At 50.9% G+C, this 19,128-nt stretch overlaps 1 protein-coding gene across 9 annotated transcripts in view, besides 4 other annotated features; it reads left to right on the top strand.

Moving 5' to 3' along the window:
• The window catches only part of PCSK7 (proprotein convertase subtilisin/kexin type 7), a 27,737-nt gene continuing 8,644 nt past the window's right edge, over positions 36-19,128 (top strand). For 7 of the 9 annotated variants that reach the window (NM_004716.4, XM_047427866.1, XM_047427864.1 and 4 more), the window contains exons 1-12: positions 36-82; positions 1,641-1,760; positions 2,253-2,732; positions 3,759-3,893; positions 4,787-4,952; positions 6,088-6,178; positions 7,354-7,408; positions 7,893-8,031; positions 8,801-8,901; positions 12,351-12,518; positions 12,945-13,052; positions 13,541-13,643. In NM_004716.4, coding sequence (NP_004707.2) covers positions 2,265-2,732; positions 3,759-3,893; positions 4,787-4,952; positions 6,088-6,178; positions 7,354-7,408; positions 7,893-8,031; positions 8,801-8,901; positions 12,351-12,518; positions 12,945-13,052; positions 13,541-13,643 — 1,534 coding nt within the window. In that variant the 5' untranslated portion in view covers positions 36-82; positions 1,641-1,760; positions 2,253-2,264. Of the gene's footprint in view, positions 83-1,640; positions 1,761-2,252; positions 2,733-3,758; positions 3,894-4,786; positions 4,953-6,087; positions 6,179-7,353; positions 7,409-7,892; positions 8,032-8,362; positions 8,715-8,800; positions 8,902-12,350; positions 12,519-12,944; positions 13,053-13,540; positions 13,644-14,864; positions 14,964-19,128 lie in introns of those variants that run through there. The other 2 variants (XR_947871.4, XM_006718940.5) reach the window with 2 other exon arrangements.
• Positions 189-238: an enhancer, noted in NCBI's record as "active region_5570". NCBI's record gives its function as "activates an Ori minimal core promoter by ATAC-STARR-seq in GM12878 lymphoblastoid cells {active_cell/tissue: GM12878}" and the evidence as "EXISTENCE:reporter gene assay evidence [ECO:0000049][PMID:35858748]".
• Positions 1,108-1,347: an enhancer, noted in NCBI's record as "active region_5569". NCBI's record gives its function as "activates an Ori minimal core promoter by ATAC-STARR-seq in GM12878 lymphoblastoid cells {active_cell/tissue: GM12878}" and the evidence as "EXISTENCE:reporter gene assay evidence [ECO:0000049][PMID:35858748]".
• Positions 12,447-12,947: an enhancer, noted in NCBI's record as "H3K4me1 hESC enhancer chr11:117089878-117090378 (GRCh37/hg19 assembly coordinates)". NCBI's record gives its function as "activates a minimal SCP1, AML or CMV promoter by ChIP-STARR-seq in primed H9 embryonic stem cells {active_cell/tissue: H9 hESC(primed)}" and the evidence as "EXISTENCE:reporter gene assay evidence [ECO:0000049][PMID:30033119]".
• Positions 13,402-14,601: an enhancer, noted in NCBI's record as "BRD4-independent group 4 enhancer chr11:117088224-117089423 (GRCh37/hg19 assembly coordinates)". NCBI's record gives its function as "activates an origin of replication core promoter dependent on BRD2, P300/CBP, MED14 and CDK7 cofactors, and independent of BRD4, by STARR-seq in HCT116 cells {active_cell/tissue: HCT116}" and the evidence as "EXISTENCE:reporter gene assay evidence [ECO:0000049][PMID:35650434]".

Below are 19,128 nucleotides of genomic sequence, written 5' to 3'. Positions count from 1 at the left end.
GTGATGCTGCTGTCACTGCTCCTCCGGCTCCCGGGAAGCCGCGAGTTTCCGCAGGGAGGCGGCGGCAGCTGCGGCGGGGCCGGTGAGTTGGGAACTAGGTGTGGGGCTGGACCTGGGTGGTCAGGGGGCCCCAGAAGTGGGGGAAGCCGGCGTCTGAGGATGAGGGAGCTGCACAGAGGGTGCCTGAGGTCCTGGCGTGGGGGACCAAGGAGATGGGGCCCCAGGGCCCAGAATTCCTGGATAATGTGGGTGCTAATGAGGAGAGGGGCACATTGCACGGAGCGATCGAGGCCGACGGAGGGAGAATCGGGAAACTGACCCGGTACCCAAGCTGGCTTCTAGGAGCCGGGTGTGGAACAGCGAGGACAGTAGCTTGGGAGCAGGATCTTGGACTCCAGGCTGCCCATTCTCTTCTTCCTTGTCAATTAAGAGCTGTAAAGGGAGGCCTAGCCGTTGGGAGAGGTTGAGACCTGCTTTCAGAAGGCATTTAAGGTTCCTTTCCCAGAAGCCTGGGGGATAAAAATGCTGCTTTGCCACTAGTAGACAGAAGGAGCTCCTGCTTCTCTTTCTTCCTGACATCTGTGGTGGGATCTACTGAGTCTGAAGGAGTCTGCCTAGCGGGGCCACTGTCTGGCTAACAAGGGTTTTGTTTGTTAGTTTGTTTACTTAGTAGAGTATGCAGACTGGGGAAGACACCTAAATATCTTGGGAGAATTGAGGCTCCCGGGGGCAGGGAGGGATTGAGAGGGAATATGCCTGGAAACCTAAGAGAAAACGAGAGGAAGAAATGTAGTATGAAGATTTTTAGAGGTAAAGGAGAGGTGGCATAAGTTCTCCTTTCCAGGAAGCCTTTCAGTAAAATTCCCATTTTTCTGGAATGCTTTGAGGTAGAGCCGCTTGGGTGTGTATCTGAGTACTAAGCCCTGCCCCAGGGTGGACCCAGTGGAGAGCAAAGGCTTTTAAAGGAGCCCAGCCACCATAGGTACACACATGTCCTGCCACCCCATTTGTCTGTCCCCCAGTTCTAACTTGGCTCTTTTTTTTTTTTTTTGAGGGCTCCTGAGACCAATTCCCTGGTTCTGTCAAACCCAGGCAATTGGAGTCCCAGTCTGGAGTCTGAGTCCTCACCTTGAAGCCAGCCTCCTGAGCTCAGTACAGGAGTAGCTGCTTAGTGAGGTTCTCTCATCATTCGTTCTCTCCTGGTTGCCCGCTTGTCCTTGGTGCCTGTTCTGTTTTGTTTGCACTCTCTGGCTTTCCCCGTTTCGCCCCCGCCGCCTCCCTCCTTTCACTTTCCCTGGTATCCTTCTGGGATATACAAATCAAGAAGTTAGCTACCACCTGGACTTCTAGGACGTTATTACCTACTCTTTCAAGAGGCATTTTGGTAACTGTTTTTTGCTAGGCCTCTGGGGAACAAAATGAAAAGAGGGTGGCACGATAGCACAGGAAGTGGGTTTTTTGGGTGTTATACTGATTTGGCCTCACCGTACCAGTTCTGCTCCAGTCTATGACCGATTTTAGATCTTTGGAAATGACAATTAATGAAGTTTCTTTGGTCCCTGGTCCTGGAGTTTATCTAACCTCAGCTTGTTGCCCTGGGATTGGTGGGACATTATTTCTTCTGTTCTTGGATCCCACAGGTCTGTAGCCTTTGCTGAGTCAACACTACTCACAGTGAAAGTGATGCCTTTTCTCCATTTGCACAACATGAGTGTGACGTGGTTAGCCAGACCAGGAGCTCAACCTCATGTAGAATCCAGGTGGGCACGGGGCCCTGTTATGGGGAATTAGCCTTGAGGACAACTGGACTGAGGAGTCAGCTAGGGAAAGATTTATGTCCCCTCTAAATGTAGGGGTGAAGGGGTTGTCTCTGCTAAAGAACAGTCACGATGCAGCCAGTAGTTTGTGGAAGCGATGTGTGCTTTGAGCCCTGTGGGTGGCAACAGGGGTTGCTCGCAGTGCCTGTGAGCAACTGGACCTCCTGCTGGATTAGCTGGTGTCGTGAGGATTGGCTGTCTTGCTGTGGGAGGCCATCCGCTGGTGTTAGTGCTGGCCCACACTCCACCTGGGGGCTTATCCCTGTTGGTCAGGGATAAATGTGAACAAAAAGAGAAGATCAAATGTTTCACAATTTAAAAGGCATGGCTTAGGGACTTCCAGGGGGAACACATGGATGGCTCAGCATCTCCCTCTCAGATTCCTGCAGTTACCAGCTCTTTGATCTCTTCCATATCCTTTTTCTTTGTCTGCAGTCCACTGCTCTGATGCCGAAGGGGAGGCAGAAAGTGCCACACTTGGATGCCCCCCTGGGCCTGCCCACCTGCCTCTGGCTGGAATTAGCCGGGCTCTTCTTACTGGTTCCCTGGGTCATGGGCCTGGCAGGGACAGGTGGGCCTGATGGCCAGGGCACAGGGGGGCCGAGCTGGGCTGTGCACCTGGAAAGCCTGGAAGGTGACGGGGAGGAAGAGACTCTGGAGCAGCAGGCGGATGCCTTGGCCCAGGCAGCAGGGCTGGTGAATGCTGGACGCATCGGAGAGCTTCAGGGGCACTACCTCTTTGTCCAGCCTGCTGGGCACAGGCCGGCCCTGGAGGTGGAGGCCATCCGGCAGCAGGTGGAGGCTGTGTTGGCTGGGCATGAAGCTGTGCGCTGGCACTCAGAGCAGAGGCTGCTAAGGCGGGCCAAGCGCAGCGTCCACTTCAACGACCCCAAGTACCCGCAGCAATGGCACCTGGTGAGTCCAGTCCTGCAGTTTGCAGTTTCAGGTGGGTAGGTTCCAGTCCAGTTCTTTAATGGGCTTTTGACTATATCACTCTTCAGTCACCTCCATCCTTTGCCTGAGGGACCATTTCCCGGTTCTGTGGTGTTTCCCTAGGCTCTCCCTCCCTTCTACTGTCTTCTAGAGGCCGGTGTTCTACAGTGCTCAGGGCACAGATGGTGCAGCCAGGCTGCCTGGGCTCATGGTCCAGCTCTGCCACTTACTAGCATGTGCATTTGGGCAAGCTGCTTAAACTCTGTGCCTCAGCTTCTCCATCTGTAAAGTGGAGATTGTAATAGTGCCTACCTCATAGAGTTATGGTTAGGGTAAGTGAATGTATACATGTGTAGCACTTAGAACCATGCCTGACACATGGTAAACACTATGACATAAGTGATACGATACTACCATTGGCATAAGAGGTGTATCATCTGGCCCGGTGCGGTGGCTCACGCCTGTAATCCCAGCACTTTGGGAGGCCGAGATGGGCAGATCACGAGGTCAGGAGATCAAGACCATCCTGGCTAACACAGTGAAACCCTGTCTCTACTAAAAATACAAAAAATTAGCCAGGCGTGGTGGCAGGCGCCTGTAGTCGCAGCTACTCGGAAGCCTGAGGCAGGAGAATGGCGTGAATCCGGGAGGCGGAGCTTGCAGTGAGCCGAGATCCTGCCACTGCACTCCACACTCCAGCCTGGGTGACAGAGCAAGACTCCGTCTCAAAAAAAAAAAAAAAAAAAGAAGTGTATCATCCAACCCTTCACCCTAGCTACCATTTTATCCCGAATCCCCCATGACTGATGACAAACTTTCCTAGAATCCAAGGCTGTGGCAGAGCTCTCACCTGCTCCTCCTTGACTCTGTTCCCACCTGACCTATTGGTCTGCAATCTGTCTGGCTCTTTGGTGGAGGCCAAGGGTGAAAAGGGGCTGCTAGCTATAACTTCATCTCCCTCTGGGCTGTGCTATGTGTCACTGTATTCCCATCCTGTCTCTCTTACAGAATAACCGACGGAGCCCGGGCAGGGACATCAACGTGACGGGTGTGTGGGAACGCAATGTGACTGGGCGAGGGGTGACGGTGGTGGTAGTGGATGACGGAGTGGAACACACCATCCAGGACATTGCACCCAACTATGTGAGTGGCCCTGGAACGACACCCCTCACTCCCCACGTCTTACCTCCTTCTTGATGTTGCCTCAGTCTTGTCCCCTTTTCTAGAGGTCTTTGGGCCAAATAAAAGAGCCTGGGAGGTGGGATGGGGTTCATCCTCTTCTTTTCCCTAGCTAGCCAGTCAAGGCACAGCAGGTGGCTCTAACTCTAAGAACAATCCTGCTCTCAGTTCTAGTCCTTTTCTGAGGAGTAAGGAGTGGCCCCTGCAGGCAACTTCCCTCTTGTTGGAAATCCGAGTGCCTTCCTCTCTCTAAAGCGTGGCCTCTAGGGAGCCCTACCTGCCTTTTTTCCAGGTTTCCCAAGCCGTGGAGCTGTAGGCACATTCGCATAATGGGCAAGAGAAGTTTGCTGGGAGCTGTGGCACTTCTCAGTTTTGCCCCAGTGTCCTTTGCTCATATCTTTTAGCCAGTGTGGTTTGCAGATAGAAATGGGCTTATTGGGTCCGGGCGCGGTGGCTCACGCCTGTAATCCCAGCACTTTGGGAAGCCAAGGCGGGCGGATCAGGAGGTCAGGAGTTTGAGACCAGCCTGGCCAAGATGGTGAAACCCCGTCTCTACTAAAAATACAAAAATTAGCCAAGTGTGGTGGCGCTCACCTATAGTCCCAGCCACTCGGGAGGCTGAGGCAGAAGAATCGCTTGAACCTGGGAGGCAGTTGTTGCAGTGAGCTGAGATTGTGGCACTGCACTCCAGCCTGGGCAACAGAGTGAGACTCCATCTCAAAAACAGAAACGATGAGAAATGAGCTTATCGCCCTAGCTTCGATTCCCAAACTCCCATTTCCTTTCTGTCCCTGAACCCCAGGACCTGATCCCCTCTAACCAGTGAATGACCACATGTCACCTCCAAAATATTTCAGAGCCCTGAGGGTAGCTATGACCTCAACTCTAATGACCCTGACCCCATGCCCCACCCGGATGTGGAGAATGGCAACCACCATGGCACGCGATGTGCAGGAGAGATCGCGGCTGTGCCCAACAACAGCTTCTGTGCCGTGGGCGTGGCCTACGGGAGCCGCATCGCAGGTAACTTGTGCCTCCAGCCTAGCCTTGGTAGGCTGCTCCTGTGACCACAGTCTTCATTTCCTGCACCCCTCCCTACTCTGAAACATCTTTATCCCATAGCCCAGCTGACACACATAGCATAGAGCAAGGGTGAGTTTATAATAGGTGTCTGTAGGACATATCAGCTCATTGATTTTTCAGTGCAGTGGTGTTTCAAACATGTTTTTCTATTTATAGTTCCATAAATTACAAAGTGCCTTCTTGTCGGTTTTTCCTCTATGATCCGATACGTCTATGGTGGCAGCCTTTGCATTTCCCAGCTCCCCAGCTCCCCAGCTCCCAGTCCCACTGATGGTCACGGGCTGCTCTCCATCCTTTTGGGGGAGCTGAGCAGCCCTATTCCTCCCTGGAGGTGGTTCTGTGGTTCTTTCACACTCAACGTCTGTCCATCAAGGCAAAAGGTGAAGGGAATGAATGGGGAAGCCCTCACCATAACTCCTTATGTGCTTGGGAACCTACAGACTGAACAGACTATTCCTCTTATACTCCAGCAGAGGGCAGTAGCTCTCCATAAATGAGACCGGAGGAGCCAGAAACCCTGTCCAAGTCCCTTCTCTGAAAGTGCCACAGCACTGCAGCCTGGGCGACAGAGCCAGACTTTGTCTCTCTCTATATATATATTTTTTTGGTGGGGGGACAAGTAATACGTATACATGGTGTAAAAATGCAAAATGGGCTGGGCGTGGGGGCTATGGGGATCACACCTGTAATCCCAGCACTTTGGGAGGCCAAGGCAGGCAGATCACTTGAGGTCAGGAGTTCGAGACCAGCCTGACCAATATGGTGAAACCCCATCTCTACTAAAAATACAAAAATTAGCCGGGTGTGGTGGCATGCGCCTGTAGTCCCAGCTACTTCGAGGCTGAGGCAAGACAATCGCTTGAACCCAGGAGGTGGAGGCTGCAGTGAGCCGAGATCATGCCACTGCACTCCAGTCTGGGTGACAAGTAAGACTTTATCTCAAAAAAAAAAAAAAGCAAAATGTACAAAGAGCATGTAGGGAAAAATAAGTCTCCCACATATGGCTCCCCACCTCCCAGTTCCCCGGCTAGGAGACCAGCATTAGTGAGGAGCTGCTGTGGCCTTCATTGCCTAGGTATCCGGGTACTGGATGGACCTCTCACAGACAGCATGGAGGCAGTGGCGTTCAACAAGCACTATCAGATCAATGACATCTACAGCTGCAGGTGAGGCAGAGCTGCAGATGAGAGGGCAAGAGCCTGGAGCACCTGGGACAAATCCGCCAACAAAATCCCAACCAGTGGGCTGACTTAGGCCGGAGCAGGGGTCTCCTCATTGGGTTCAGCTAATAAGTCCATTGCCTTCATTTCTCTAGATTCCCAGCCACTGGGCACTCAACCTTAAGCCCCCGTCACCCCCGTAATCAGATTGCCACATGAGAAGCCCTGGCCTGTGCACATTTATTTGTTTTCTAAACTCCTAAGGCCTCTGCAAGAAAGCGGGCTTTCTTCTCCATCCACAGGCCAGCTGAATGCCCAACACCAATCCCCCACCCCACGCCAATGCACTGCACCTTCAGGGCATGGCTGTGCTGGACTGGACAAGAAGGAAATGGGGTTGGGGGCCCACATGGCATTGATGGCACCTGTTCCTCCCCCGACATACCTCCCTTAAATCCATGACATCATCCACAGGGTACACTTCCCGATAGAGACAGAATAGAGAACTCCTCAACCTGAGAACCAAGAGCTTCCACAGAAGTTCATGGGCGCTCTGCCTTCTACCCTACGAGTTGGGCCAGGTGCGGTGGCTCACGCCTGTAATCCCAGCACTTTGGGAGGCTGAGGCATGTGGATTGCTTGAGGTCAGGAGTTCAAGACCTGCCTGACCAACATGGTGAAACCCCATCTCTACTAAAAATACAAAAATTAGCCAGGCTTGGTGGTGGGCACCTGTAATCCCAGCTACTCCAGAGGCTGAGGCAGGAGAATCGCTTGAACCTGGGAGGTGGAGGTGGCAGTGAGCCAAAATCGCGCCATTGCACTTCAGCCTGGGCAACAGAGGAAGACGCCGTTTCAGGAGAAAAAAAAAAAAAAAAAAAGGTCTACATGTCTCTGATCCCTAGATCAGGAGATGAGTGACCTCTGTCCCTCTCTGCCACTATGGGCTATGGGGACATTCACAAGGAAAAGAAGAGCCTTAGCACACTTCTGTTTTCCACTTTGGAGAGGGGATGGACCTTTGAACCCTGTGCCTTTTAATCACGGAAGCCTTTAAGTGGAACCCTTGGGAGGAGTTAAGAGCTGCAGGTCAAAGGGCAGCCAGCTGAGACTGGGAGGCGCTGGGTGGGTAGCCGCAGCCTGGCTCTGGCTGTCCCCTCTAGGTATTTATTTCTCAACAGCTGGGGACCAGATGACGATGGGAAGACAGTGGATGGCCCCCATCAGCTTGGAAAGGTAACTGGCCTGCACAAAGACTCTGAGAAACGGGATGCCCTCTTCATACAGTCCCGGGAGAACTGCTGCAAGTTGACCCATCTTCCCACTCCACCTCCACGCTCAGTCTCCTTTCAGGAAGAGAACACCTAACGTCGGGGCAGGAAGCCTAGGGGACGTTTGTTCCTAGAGAGGGAAATGGAACAGTGCTTTGAGATTGTTTCCCTTTCATCTTATCCTCAGCTCCCATGCCTGGCCCCACCCTGTCCTCTGATAAGCAGAGGGTGTCCATCAGTCATCATTCAACTCACAGCTGCCCCACATCCTGGGTCAACTCACAGCTCCCTCACATGCGGGGTCCATCTTCCAATCTTTCCCCCATGCCCAGTGCCCTTTGAACTTTTTTCCCTTTGTTTCTAGAAGGGGTGGAGAGGGTGACTGATGTGGTAGGCGGAGGTCTTTCTGTGGGTTCCTCAACTGACACCCTGATGTTTTGGCTCCTCAGGCTGCCTTACAACATGGGGTGATTGCTGGTCGCCAGGGCTTTGGGAGCATCTTTGTGGTAGCCAGTGGCAACGGAGGCCAACACAACGACAACTGCAACTACGATGGCTACGCCAACTCCATCTACACCGTCACCATAGGTAGTCACCCAATGTTTCTGTGCTCCTGTGTGTGTGTCACCGAAGGGTTAGGGCATCACACGTCTTGTCCTAGCTTCTGTGTGTGTCTAAATGTGTGAGCACAATAATCTCTTTGGGCTCAGATAGGACTAGCCCTGCTTGCAGAGGACCTTGGGACTTCTTAGATGTCAGCATACCCTGGGAACACCTTCAAGCCATCATCTGGAGATCACCGAGCTGCCTCCACCCCACCACAGCTGGTTAGGCCTCTGCTCTGGCCTGTCTTTCTGTGGGCCACCTTCTGCCTGCTGGAAGCCTCCCCTGACTCCCCACAGGCCTAAATTAAGTGCCCTTTGCCTGTGCTCCCAGTTAGCATGTGTTTATTTACTTACCTGACTTCTACCTGACTCTAGGCTCCTCGAGACTAGGACTGCGGCCTTTTCCATATGGCCCTGATGCCTGGCACGGGTGTGACCCACAGTAGATGGGTAATGAATGTTGAAAACAGTAAGCATGTGAATGAATAAGTGGGTATGAAGGTAGAAGGCTGCCAGTTGTACCCCAGAGCCTACTGAAAGAATGGTATTGCGGCACAGAATGCCCTCTGCCACTTGAGACTGCCTGTTCAGAAGAGGATCAGGACTGCTCTGAGGGACGTGGGCCGCTCAGATCATGTTTCAAACTCAGGACAGCCCCCCAGGATGGTAACTCCAAGATAACTGACATTAGCAAGCCCCTGCCACAGGACCCCCTCTGCATCTCAGCTCTAATCTCCCTCCTCTGTCCCTAGGAGCTGTGGATGAGGAGGGACGCATGCCTTTCTATGCAGAAGAATGTGCCTCCATGCTGGCAGTCACCTTCAGTGGTGGGGACAAGATGCTTCGGAGCATTGTGAGTGCCTCCCGGGCCCTCCACGGCCTGCCCCTTTCCCACAAGACTTCACGTCTCAGACATCACAGCGCTTCTCACTGTTCCCTGCTTCCCCGCCCCAACACTCAGGCTCCTCTTCCCCCACAGAGCTGGATGTCTTAAGGCATGCCACCCTTGGAGTAGTAGACTCGGGGACTCTGAATACATCTTGGGAATGCTTTTATCTTAGAAATTTGGATTTAGGACGAATATACATATTTTTAGAAACTAAGTGTCACATGGGGCCAAACATGGTGGCTCACTCCTGTAATCCCAGCACTTTGGGAGGCCAAGGCGGATGGATCACTTGAGGTCAGGAGTTCAAGACCAGCCTGGCCAACATGGTGAAACCCTGTCTCTACTAAAAATACAAAAATTAGCCTGGTGTGGTGGCGGGCATCTGTAATCCCAGCTACTTGGGAGGCTGAGGCAGGAGAATCGCTTGAAACAAGGAGGCGGAGGTTACAGTGAGCCAAGATTGCACCACTGTACTCCAGCCTGGGTGACAGAACAAGACTCCTTCTCAAAAAAAAAAAAGAAACTAAGTGTCACATGGATTAAACAACTTTTTCACACTCAAGGAAATGCACAAACAACTTCTTTGCAGTGTCTTCCTTTGGTAAAATTTGGGCTTTTGCTAATTTCTGTGGACTTAAAAAAAACTCCTAATTCCATTGCCCTTCAGCTCTTAGGTAAATACTGTGAGTTCTGGTCATGTGCATCTTCAGGAGGAAAGCTAGTCTGGTTGTCGTTTTTATGGGATGAGTGGGAAGAGGAGTGGGGGAATGTCTCATGTCAACACCAGAGAGAGCTCTTTCTCTGGAGCTATAATTGGAGCCATAGCAAATGAAATTCGAGCAGGGTCATGGAGCTTCTCTAACCTGTGGAACCCATTTAAAGAATTTGAAGACGATCGCCTACACCCAGCTGGGCTTAGCGCCATCCCAGCAGGTTTAAGGCAGGCCTCTAGACCATCTTCCTAGAGCTCCCTGCCTGTCCCTGTTGCCCGCAACCATATAGTGTGGGCATAGGAGGCTCTAGGCAGGAGCTGGGCTGGAGCCAGGTGGTATCAAATTTCTCCAGTGGCTGAGTCGGGAGATCTCTCTGGGGCCATTGGGAATTAGGCTGCTTTGTCTTCCTGCTGGGTCAAATTTATTTTCCAAAACTAAAATTTTGTTATGCCAATAAATGACTTCTGGTCAACACAATGTTCCAAGGCTCTGTGCCAGTTGACCCCTACTACCCCCTCCTCCCAGCCCCAGGGAGAAGAGAAAAGGGAGTGGACTAAAGTAGAGAGGGAAGAGAGGCTGGGCTGTGTGCACAGAGGGCACCCACTGCAGGCCAGGCTGGGTTAGGAGGAAGAACAGGAACATACCAAACTCCACCCTCTAGCAGAACTCTAGGGAACCCAGCTCGCCCTGCCCAGGCCAGGGACCTAAGAAGGTTCTACAACATAATTGTCACTCTTGCTCTGCTGTACCTGGCCTTTCTCATTTTAACTCACCTCAGCTTCTCACCCTCACCACCCTCTTCCATCTGAACTGTAATTTGCCCAGAAATGAAGAGAGAGTGTGTTTAGCAGAGTTCCCATCTTTGGAATGTCCTTGCTATGGAAACTTCTTGTTGCCAGTTTCTAGTCAATGACCAGGGCAGCTGGGTAGAGCTGTCTTTCTGAGGGCAGAGGCTGGGGGCATATGCTTCCCACCATTTGGCTCCCTGGGGAAGCAAAGCTTCTCTGGACTTTTCAATGCCTGCCTGTGGCTCCTGCCACCATAGACAAGTTCGTGGGCTTCACAGCCACACTTCAGACTATCACTGCAAGGCTGTTTCCTTAACAGGAAAAAAAATCAACCCGCTCCCTTGCATAAACCAGGCTCCCACTCTCATTGAGACAACCACTTGGAGAGTGCTTTTCCCTTTTTTTTCTGGGAGTGCGCCATGGCTGGGTGAAAATTACATCTCTTGGCAGCTGCTCTAACAGCTGGGAGGGAAGCAGTGAGTACAGTGGAGAAAGGGCAGCTCTTGGCAGAAGTCGCCACCCTGGTATCTGACCCAGAAGAGAAGTTTGGAAGAAAGAAATTCTCCGGTGTTAGCACTGACACCATGGGCCAACGATCCAAGTGCCATAGAGTGGAGCAGATTTAGGCAGGGCCCGCCTCAGCTAAACCCTCTGAGTCTCCAGGGGTGATGACAGCCCCAAAAGAGCTCGATGCCAGGCAGTCACTGCCTCCCCTTGCCCCATTCTCGCTCCCCACCTCAGAACCACACAGAGAGAAGGGGTTTCATGGCATCTGGCCCAGAGCAGTGAGGCAGCTTGTCCTGTTGAGAGCTGTAGAGCCGGGCAGGCGGGCCTTATAGACACTGAGTCCATGCAGGGCTCGGGGGTGGGCAAGGACACAGTCCTCTCTTGCTGGAACACACTCCCTGTGTTCACGCCGACATCATTCCAGCCCCTGTCGCGGAGCTGCCAAATTGGATTTCCTTGAATAGTGCCGTCAGTGTTGTCCCAGCTCCAGCTGGGCCCAGTAGCTCCCCTGGCCACTTCCTCTGTCTAGCTTGGTTGTGGGGGTTGAAGGGTTTGGAGTTGGGAGTTGGGATAGAGAATTTAGGAATGGGAGCAAGAATATTAGGAGCAAAAATCGGGAGGCCCCCCCATGGTGGCTCATGCCTGTTAATCCCGACACTTTGGGAGGCCAAGGCAGGAAGATTGCTTGAGGCCAAGAGTTCGAGACCAGCCTGGGCAACATAGTGAGATGCTGTCTCTACAAAAAATAAGAATATTAGTGTGGTGCAGTGGTACACGCCTGTAGTCCCAGCTACATGGGAAGCTGAAGCAGGAGGATCGCTGGAACCCAGGAGTTCGAGGCTGTGGTGAGCTATGATCTTACCACTGCACTCCAGCCTAGGCGACAAGGAAAAATAAGAAAAAAGAAAAGAGTTGGGAAACCCTTATCTGCACTGGATGGGAGCCCTTTCCTATCTCTGCCTCCTTTTGCCAACAACCACACCCTCAAAAGTAACTTTTATTATCTTTGTCTCTGTTCTCCAGATATTCTGTTAGGAGGCCAGGAGGGTTAGGGTTTCCTTTGCCCTGCCCTGCTATTGGGTCCTTCTCTGGTCAAAGATTCAGCTCTAACAAAGGAAGGGTCCACCTGTGAGACCTGTTCTGAGGACCAGCCCTGTACCTTTCCCCCATAACAACTTTGAACTCAGTCTCTAGCTTCTTTTTTAAAAAATATTCTTTTTTTATTTTTTAAAGATGGGTTCTCACTCAGCCACCTAGGCTGGAGTGCAGTGGCACAGTCATAACTCCTGTGCTCAAGCAATCCTCCTGCCTGGGCCTCCCAGGTAGCCGGGACTATAGGTGCACACCACTGTCCCCAGCTTGAACTCAGTCTCTAACCTACTTCCTTTTCCTGTTTCACTTCCAGGTGACCACTGACTGGGACCTTCAGAAGGGCACTGGCTGCACTGAGGGCCACACAGGGACCTCAGCTGCAGCGCCTCTGGCAGCTGGCATGATAGCCTTAATGCTGCAGGTGCGGCCCTGCCTCACGTGGCGTGACGTCCAGCACATCATTGTCTTCACAGCCACCCGGGTGAGATACCAGCAGGTAGACAAGTGGCCTGGCCCAGCCTGCTCCAGAGTTCGGGTATCAGGTGGCCTTAGATTCTCAATGTCCCAAATGTTAGATACTAAGTCTCTTTCAGAGTCCCTTTCAGAGTTGCATATGTAAAGAACAGGTGTGGGGACCCCACAAAGACCACAGGCCTAAACTCATTTTATCTGCAAAGGGGAGCTCTGGCTGTGCCTCCTGGCCCCTTCTCTAGAAGCAAGCCAGTGGGGTGGTGACATCATGGGCTTTGACCTTTTGTCCCAGCTTGCCTTGGGGAATCCATTCCCAGTAGCCATAGTGGGAGAGCGTGGACTGGATCAGCCAGCAGGGCAAGCAGGGAAACCAGAGTCAGATTGTTGAGACTACACTGGCAATGCAAGAGACTAACCAGGACCTCTGTCCTTTCAGTATGAGGATCGCCGTGCAGAGTGGGTCACCAACGAGGCAGGCTTCAGCCATAGCCACCAGCACGGTTTCGGCCTCCTCAACGCCTGGAGGCTCGTGAATGCAGCCAAGGTGAACAGGTGTTGGCAGGGCAGGGTGCCCTGTGTGGAGTGACCAAGGGTCGGAGCTGAATGCCCCAAACTGCCTGGGATATCATAGGTGCCTAGTAAATGTTCATTCAGTTCATTGATTTAACAACTTCAACCTTCATCCCAGCTGATATCCATTTTACAAATGAGAAAGCAGGCTCAATGCTATCACTGAAGTTTCCAAACTACTAATAGAGTAAATGGGACCTGAGTATGTGTGGGACTCAGGATGCTCTGGTTCCCCTCCTCCACCCTGGACACAGCTGTTTCCTCTGGTTCCTTAGCTGGGGGCTGTACGGAGCATTCCAGCGAGCAAGCAGGAGCTGAGGGCTGAAGGAAGATGATGAGGAGTGGAAAAATAAAGACAGCTAAACCTTCAAGATCGTATTGACAAGGGCGTGTGTGTTTGTGAGAATGTGGGTGTGATCATTCTTGTTTGTTGATTTGCCATCCCCTCCTTTCCTTTCATAGATCTGGACATCTGTCCCTTACTTAGCATCCTACGTCAGTCCCGTGTTAAAAGAAAACAAGGCGATTCCGCAGTCCCCCCGTTCCCTGGAGGTCCTGTGGAATGGTAAGTAATCAGCACAAAGGGGGTTAATCTTAGGCCTGAGGTTTGGGGCCGGGTGACAAGGAAGTTAAACTCGTCCTCCCTGCCAGATTCTACCCCCTTTCGGAGCTGAGCTCCAGCCAAACCTGTGGAGTTTTCTTTGACCATTTTAGGACATGTTACTGCTTCTGAGTTGGCTCCCCCAGCTGCTTAAACAAGACCTTTCTCCTGGGTTCCTAGTAGTGAAAAGGAGCAGCAGAGCAACTGAGGAGGAGGGCGGGTGGGAGGCATGGGACTGGGGCTTGGGGAGGTCAGGCGAGACCGGGGTGAGAGCTCAGAGAAGCTCCTGTGACTTCCATGCTAAGATCTTGCCAGAGAACTCTGGTCAGTCCTCGGGTGTCTGGATGAAGTAAAGGAGTTAGGCATTTCTTCCTTTGATTCTCTGGCTTACCTAATAGAGAGAGTCAGATGTGGTCTGCTGGGGATGGACAGAGGGTTTGTAGAAGTCTCCTAGGCTTTAGTGACCCATCCTCTGCCTCCGCCTCCATGGTGGCCAGCATGAACCAGGATTGTCTGAAGGGGTTGTATCCTCTAAGCCAGCGACCTGGTTTTATGTTGAGCGAAGAGGCGGACGCCCTCCCTAGAGGAGAGTGCAGCTGGATCAGGATGCTTGTGCAGAGGATGCCCTGTCTGCACATTTACCAGCGTTTTCCCTACCCCCAGCTCCTTGGGGGATTCTTTTTCCTGGAGTCATTTACTACTTTTTGCAAAGGAAGTATGCTATGCTTAGTGCCCAAACCAAAACTGTCTTCACTTTTTCTGTCCTCCTAGAAAGTGATCAATTGAGAGCCATGGCAGGAGAAGGAATGGCCAGAGAAGGTTACTCAGAAGGGAGGATGAGGGGTGGCTTCCCTCAGGTGAAGGTTTCACAGAGAAGAATTGAGTTTTCTCCTCCTAACCACATCCAGCACTTGCCCAATTTCCCTCAATGTGGAATGAAACCCCTGGGCCAGTCACTGCATTTCCCATAAAAGGAATGTTATCTTGGAAAGGGCATAAAGCGTCAGCCAAGTCAGAGAAGTTCAGAAACATTTCCAGGAATGCAGTTCATTTGGAAGCCCCTGGCTTTGCACTTGCGTGTCTTAGAGATAGTGTGCCTTCAACTTTACCTTCTATCCAGGGCTATTTCCTGTTGCATCTGTCAAATGAGGGCAGTGACTTAAAAGAGTAATATGGTCTTCCCAGCTTCGTCATCCTCTGCTTCCTGCTGACCAGGGGACGTTGCCACGGAATGTCTACCCTAGGCATTGAGGCATCTGGCAACTGCTTGCTTGTCACTAAAAAGTAAGAGAAAGAAGGACAGATTGCCTGGGTGGAGAAGAGTGGGAGGTGGCCTAGTGGAGAAAGCAGGATTAAGAGAAGGGAGGGAAAGATTTAGGGAGTTTGGCTAATGGAGCCCTTTACCTGTTGGAAGGGCAGCAAGCAAAAGTTTTACCAGAGTTTTCCCTACCCCCAGCTCCTTGGGGGATTTTTTGTTTTGTTTCATTTTTGTTTTTGTTTTTTTGCCTTGAGTAATTTTGACATGCAGAGTTATTCACAACTTTTTGCAAAGTACTATTTTCATTGGCTTTTCAGAGCCAGTGAAGTTGCCTTCTCCTCCAACATGACCACATTTTCCTCTGAGCAGACAAAAACAGAACAAATAAGTTTGTGGGCTTGCTTGGAGGTTGAAAGAAATAAGTCCAGTTAAAATGAGAGTTGAGCCAGGTGCCCTGGCTCATGCCTGTAATCCCAGCACTTTGGGAACTTTGGGAGGCAGATAACCTGAGGTCAGGAGTTTGAGACCAACCTGACCAACATGGTGATACCCCATCTCCACTAAAAATACAAAATTAGCTGGGTGTGGTGGCTCATGCCTGTAGTCCCAGCTACTTGGGAGGCTGAGGCAGGAGAACCCGGGAGGCAGAGGTTGCAGTGAGCTGAGATCGCACCATTGCACTCCAGCCTGGGCAAGAAGAGGGAAACTCCATCTCAAAAAAAAAAAAAAAAAAAAAAATTGAGAGTTGAGCAGCTCAGTCCCAGGAAGTCAAGAAACCCCTTCTACAGCCAAGTTATGGTTGTTTTCCACCAGGACCTGGTTGATTCAGTGTCTGGGGGCTGGAAAGTGAACTTTTTATAAAGCAGAGGGAGCTGAACATCCCTGAGATAGAAGAGGAGGCTAAATACCTCTAAGACTCTAGAGTAGCATTGTCCCAAAGAATTTTCTGCAATGATGGAACTGTTCCATGTCCATGCTGCTCAGTTCAGTGGTCACTAGTCATCTGAGTCTATTGAACATTTAAAACATGACCAGTTGGCCGGGCATGGTGGCTCACACCTGTAATCCCTTTGGGAAGCTGAGGCAGGAGCATTGTTTACGCTCATGAGTTCAAGACCAGCCTGAACAACATAGTGAGACCCTATTTCTACAAAAAATAAAATTAGCCAGGTGTGGTGGTGCATGCCTCCTGGGAGGCTGAGACAGGAGGATTCCTTGAGCCCAGGATGCCAAGGCTGCAGTAAGCCATGGTTGCACTACTGCACTCTCCATCCTGGGTGACAGAGCGAGACCTTGTCTCAAAAATAATAATAGGCTAGGCGTGGTAGCTCATACCTAGCCTATAATCCCAGCACTTTGGGAGGCCAAGGGCAGGGGCGGATCACTTGAGGTCAGGAGTTCAAGACCAGCCTGGCCAACAGAGTGAAACCTCGACTCTACTAAAAAAAAAAAAAAAAACGATACAAAAATTGGCTGGGCACGGTGGCTCACGCCTGTAATCCCAGCACTTTGGGAGGCTGAGGCGGGTGGATCACAAGGTCAGGAGATCGAGACCATCCTGGCTAACACGGTGAAACCCCATCTCTACTACAAATACAAAAAAATTAGCCAGGCGTGGTGGTGGGTGCCTGTAGTCCCAGCTACTCGGGAGGCTGAGGCAGGAGAATGGCGTGAACCAGGGAGGCGGAGCTTGCAGTGAGCCAAGATCGTGCCACTGCACTCCAGCCTAGACAACAGAGCGAGACTCCATCTCAAAAAAAAAAAGTATATATATATATATATATATATATACACACACACACACACAAATTAGCCAGGCATGGTGGCACGTGCCTGTAGTCCCAGCTATTCAAGAGGTTGAGGCAGGGAAATTGCTTGAACCTGGGAGGCAGAAGTTGCAGTGAGCCAAGATTGTGCCATTGCACTCCAGCCTGGATGACAGAGCAAGACTCCATCTCAAATAATAATAATAAGGCTAGTATGACTAAGGAGCTAAATTTTAATTTTGTTATACTTCATTTTAATTTAGATAGCCATGTGTGGCTAAGGGCTACCATATTGAGAAGTGCTGCTAAAGAGCAAGACTGATTTTTCTCTCTCCCCGCTGACAGGAGGTTATGAGGGAGAGGGGATTGGGGCCTCTTGGGGTTTTTAGATCTGACGCTGGTCTGAAATCTCTACCTGAGGGTAGGAGGGAGAGTGGGGCTCTGGAGGAGTGTGTTATTCACACTCAGAGAGTCTGTGATTGGAAGGTGCCTGAACACCCACTTGCACCTCTCCTTTTGTTGTCGTTTGCAGTCTTGAGGATACTGGCTAAGCCTCTGCCTACGCAGTGAGTCCTGTTCCTTCTCCTCTCCAGGTCTTCCCTCTTTAACCAACATTTCCCTCTCTGCTGATTCTTCCTTTCTGCCTTCAAATGCAAGTCCCTGCTACCTCCAACCAGGCAACTTTTCAAATGAATGAACTGAAGCAATTTCTCCCCTTTGTCACACACTCCCTCTGCCACAGAAGACTTGCTTTCTTACTCATAGTGCCCCTTTCCTGACCGGTTCAGGGGCTGGTTCAGAGTTCATCCTTTTTAACATTCTTGTCACTCTGACCCTATTAATGAGGTCTTTGTTGCAACGTCTCTCCTCCTGTAGCTTCTGTGGCGGCCTTCTTGGCTCCATAGCCCTCCTCTGCCTTCTCTGCCTGAGGTACTTGTTTCATACTCCTGAACTGTGAGTGTCTTCTAAGGCTTGTTTCCTGACTTTTTCCTCACTCTACATCATCCTCCTTGACAGTACAGCTATGTTTATGACCTTAGCTACCACCTCTCCACAAATGAGTCCTCGACCTAAATCTCTTATTCTGATCCTTCACCAGTGGAAAGGATAGAAACTAGAGCATAGCTTCCATAAGATTATGGGCAAATAGTCCAGGCACGGTGGCTCACGCCTGTAATCACAGCACTTTGGGAGGCCGAGGTGGGCAGATCACGAGGTCAGGAGATCGAGACCATCCTGGCCAACATGGTGAAACCCCGTCTCTACTAAAAATACAAAAAAATCAGCTGGGCATGGTGGCGGGCTCCTGTAGTCCCAGCTACTCGGGAGGCTGAGGCAGGAGAATTGCTTGAACCTGGGAGGTGGAGGTTGCAGTGAGCAGAGATCATGCCACTGCACTGCAGCCTGGTGACCGAGCAAGACTCCGTCTAAAAAAAAAAAAAAAAAAAAGAAAAAGAAAAGAAAAGAAAAAGATTATGGGCAAATAGAACCCTGGCGTCTTCTGGGACAGAGAGTGACTGTTGAAAAAATTCCAATTTACCAAAGGCCACATAATAAGATGCTTTTTATGTGCCAATCACTGTTCGCAGCGTTAGCTCATTTAATGCATTAACTCATTTAGTTCTGGTAGAGAGAGTTCTAGTGTACTCATTTGCACTGCCACCCAAGTCCGCATCCACACCAAGAAGTAAATGGATGTAGCATGCCACTGCGTACACTGCGAACGCAGACAAGCACTCCTTTTGGGATTCTTTTCCTTTTGGGATTCTATTCTGTTCCATAACGTCATTTCTCTCCTGTAAGCCCCTTCTCTGCCACATCAATGCTGTCCTCTAACTATGCCATAAATATTTTCCATCATCTTTCTGTTCCTAAATCACTGTGTGCTGTTGATATTCCACCAATACAGTACACTTAACATGTACAAAATTTTAGATTTCACTATCACCTCTCAAAAGCTGGCTTGCTTTCTAAGATTTTCCCATTCGTGTCAGTGCCGTCACCGTTCCCTAGGCCCCCAAACTTGAAACGCGCGAGTGTTTCATCCCTCTAATATCCCTCGCCTCTTCCCAGGTCTTCCCCAGCCCTTTCCCTTGCAATTTAATCTTTTTGTTGTTTTCTGTGAAATATCTCTCAATCGACTTATTCATTCTACAAATATTCGAGGCCTACTTCATCCCAGGCACTGTATTAGTTCTAGAGACTCGGGGATAAGACACTATTCCTGCCTTCAACGAGCTTACAACCTGGTAGGGAAGACAGTGAGGTTTATAGGCATAGTGCAGTGTTATAGGCACTGCAACAGGGACAACACAGGTGCTTTGAGAGCACAGCAGAGAGATGTCTCCTGCCACTAAGGAAGAAAGGGAAGGTTTCTCAAAGAAACTGGTGGCCAGGCACAGTGGCTCATGCCTCTAATCCCAGC

Source organism: Homo sapiens, chromosome 11 (genome assembly GCF_000001405.40).
Source record: "Homo sapiens chromosome 11, GRCh38.p14 Primary Assembly".
Lineage (NCBI taxonomy): Eukaryota > Metazoa > Chordata > Mammalia > Primates > Hominidae > Homo > Homo sapiens.
This window is presented reverse-complemented; position numbering and strand designations above follow the sequence as displayed.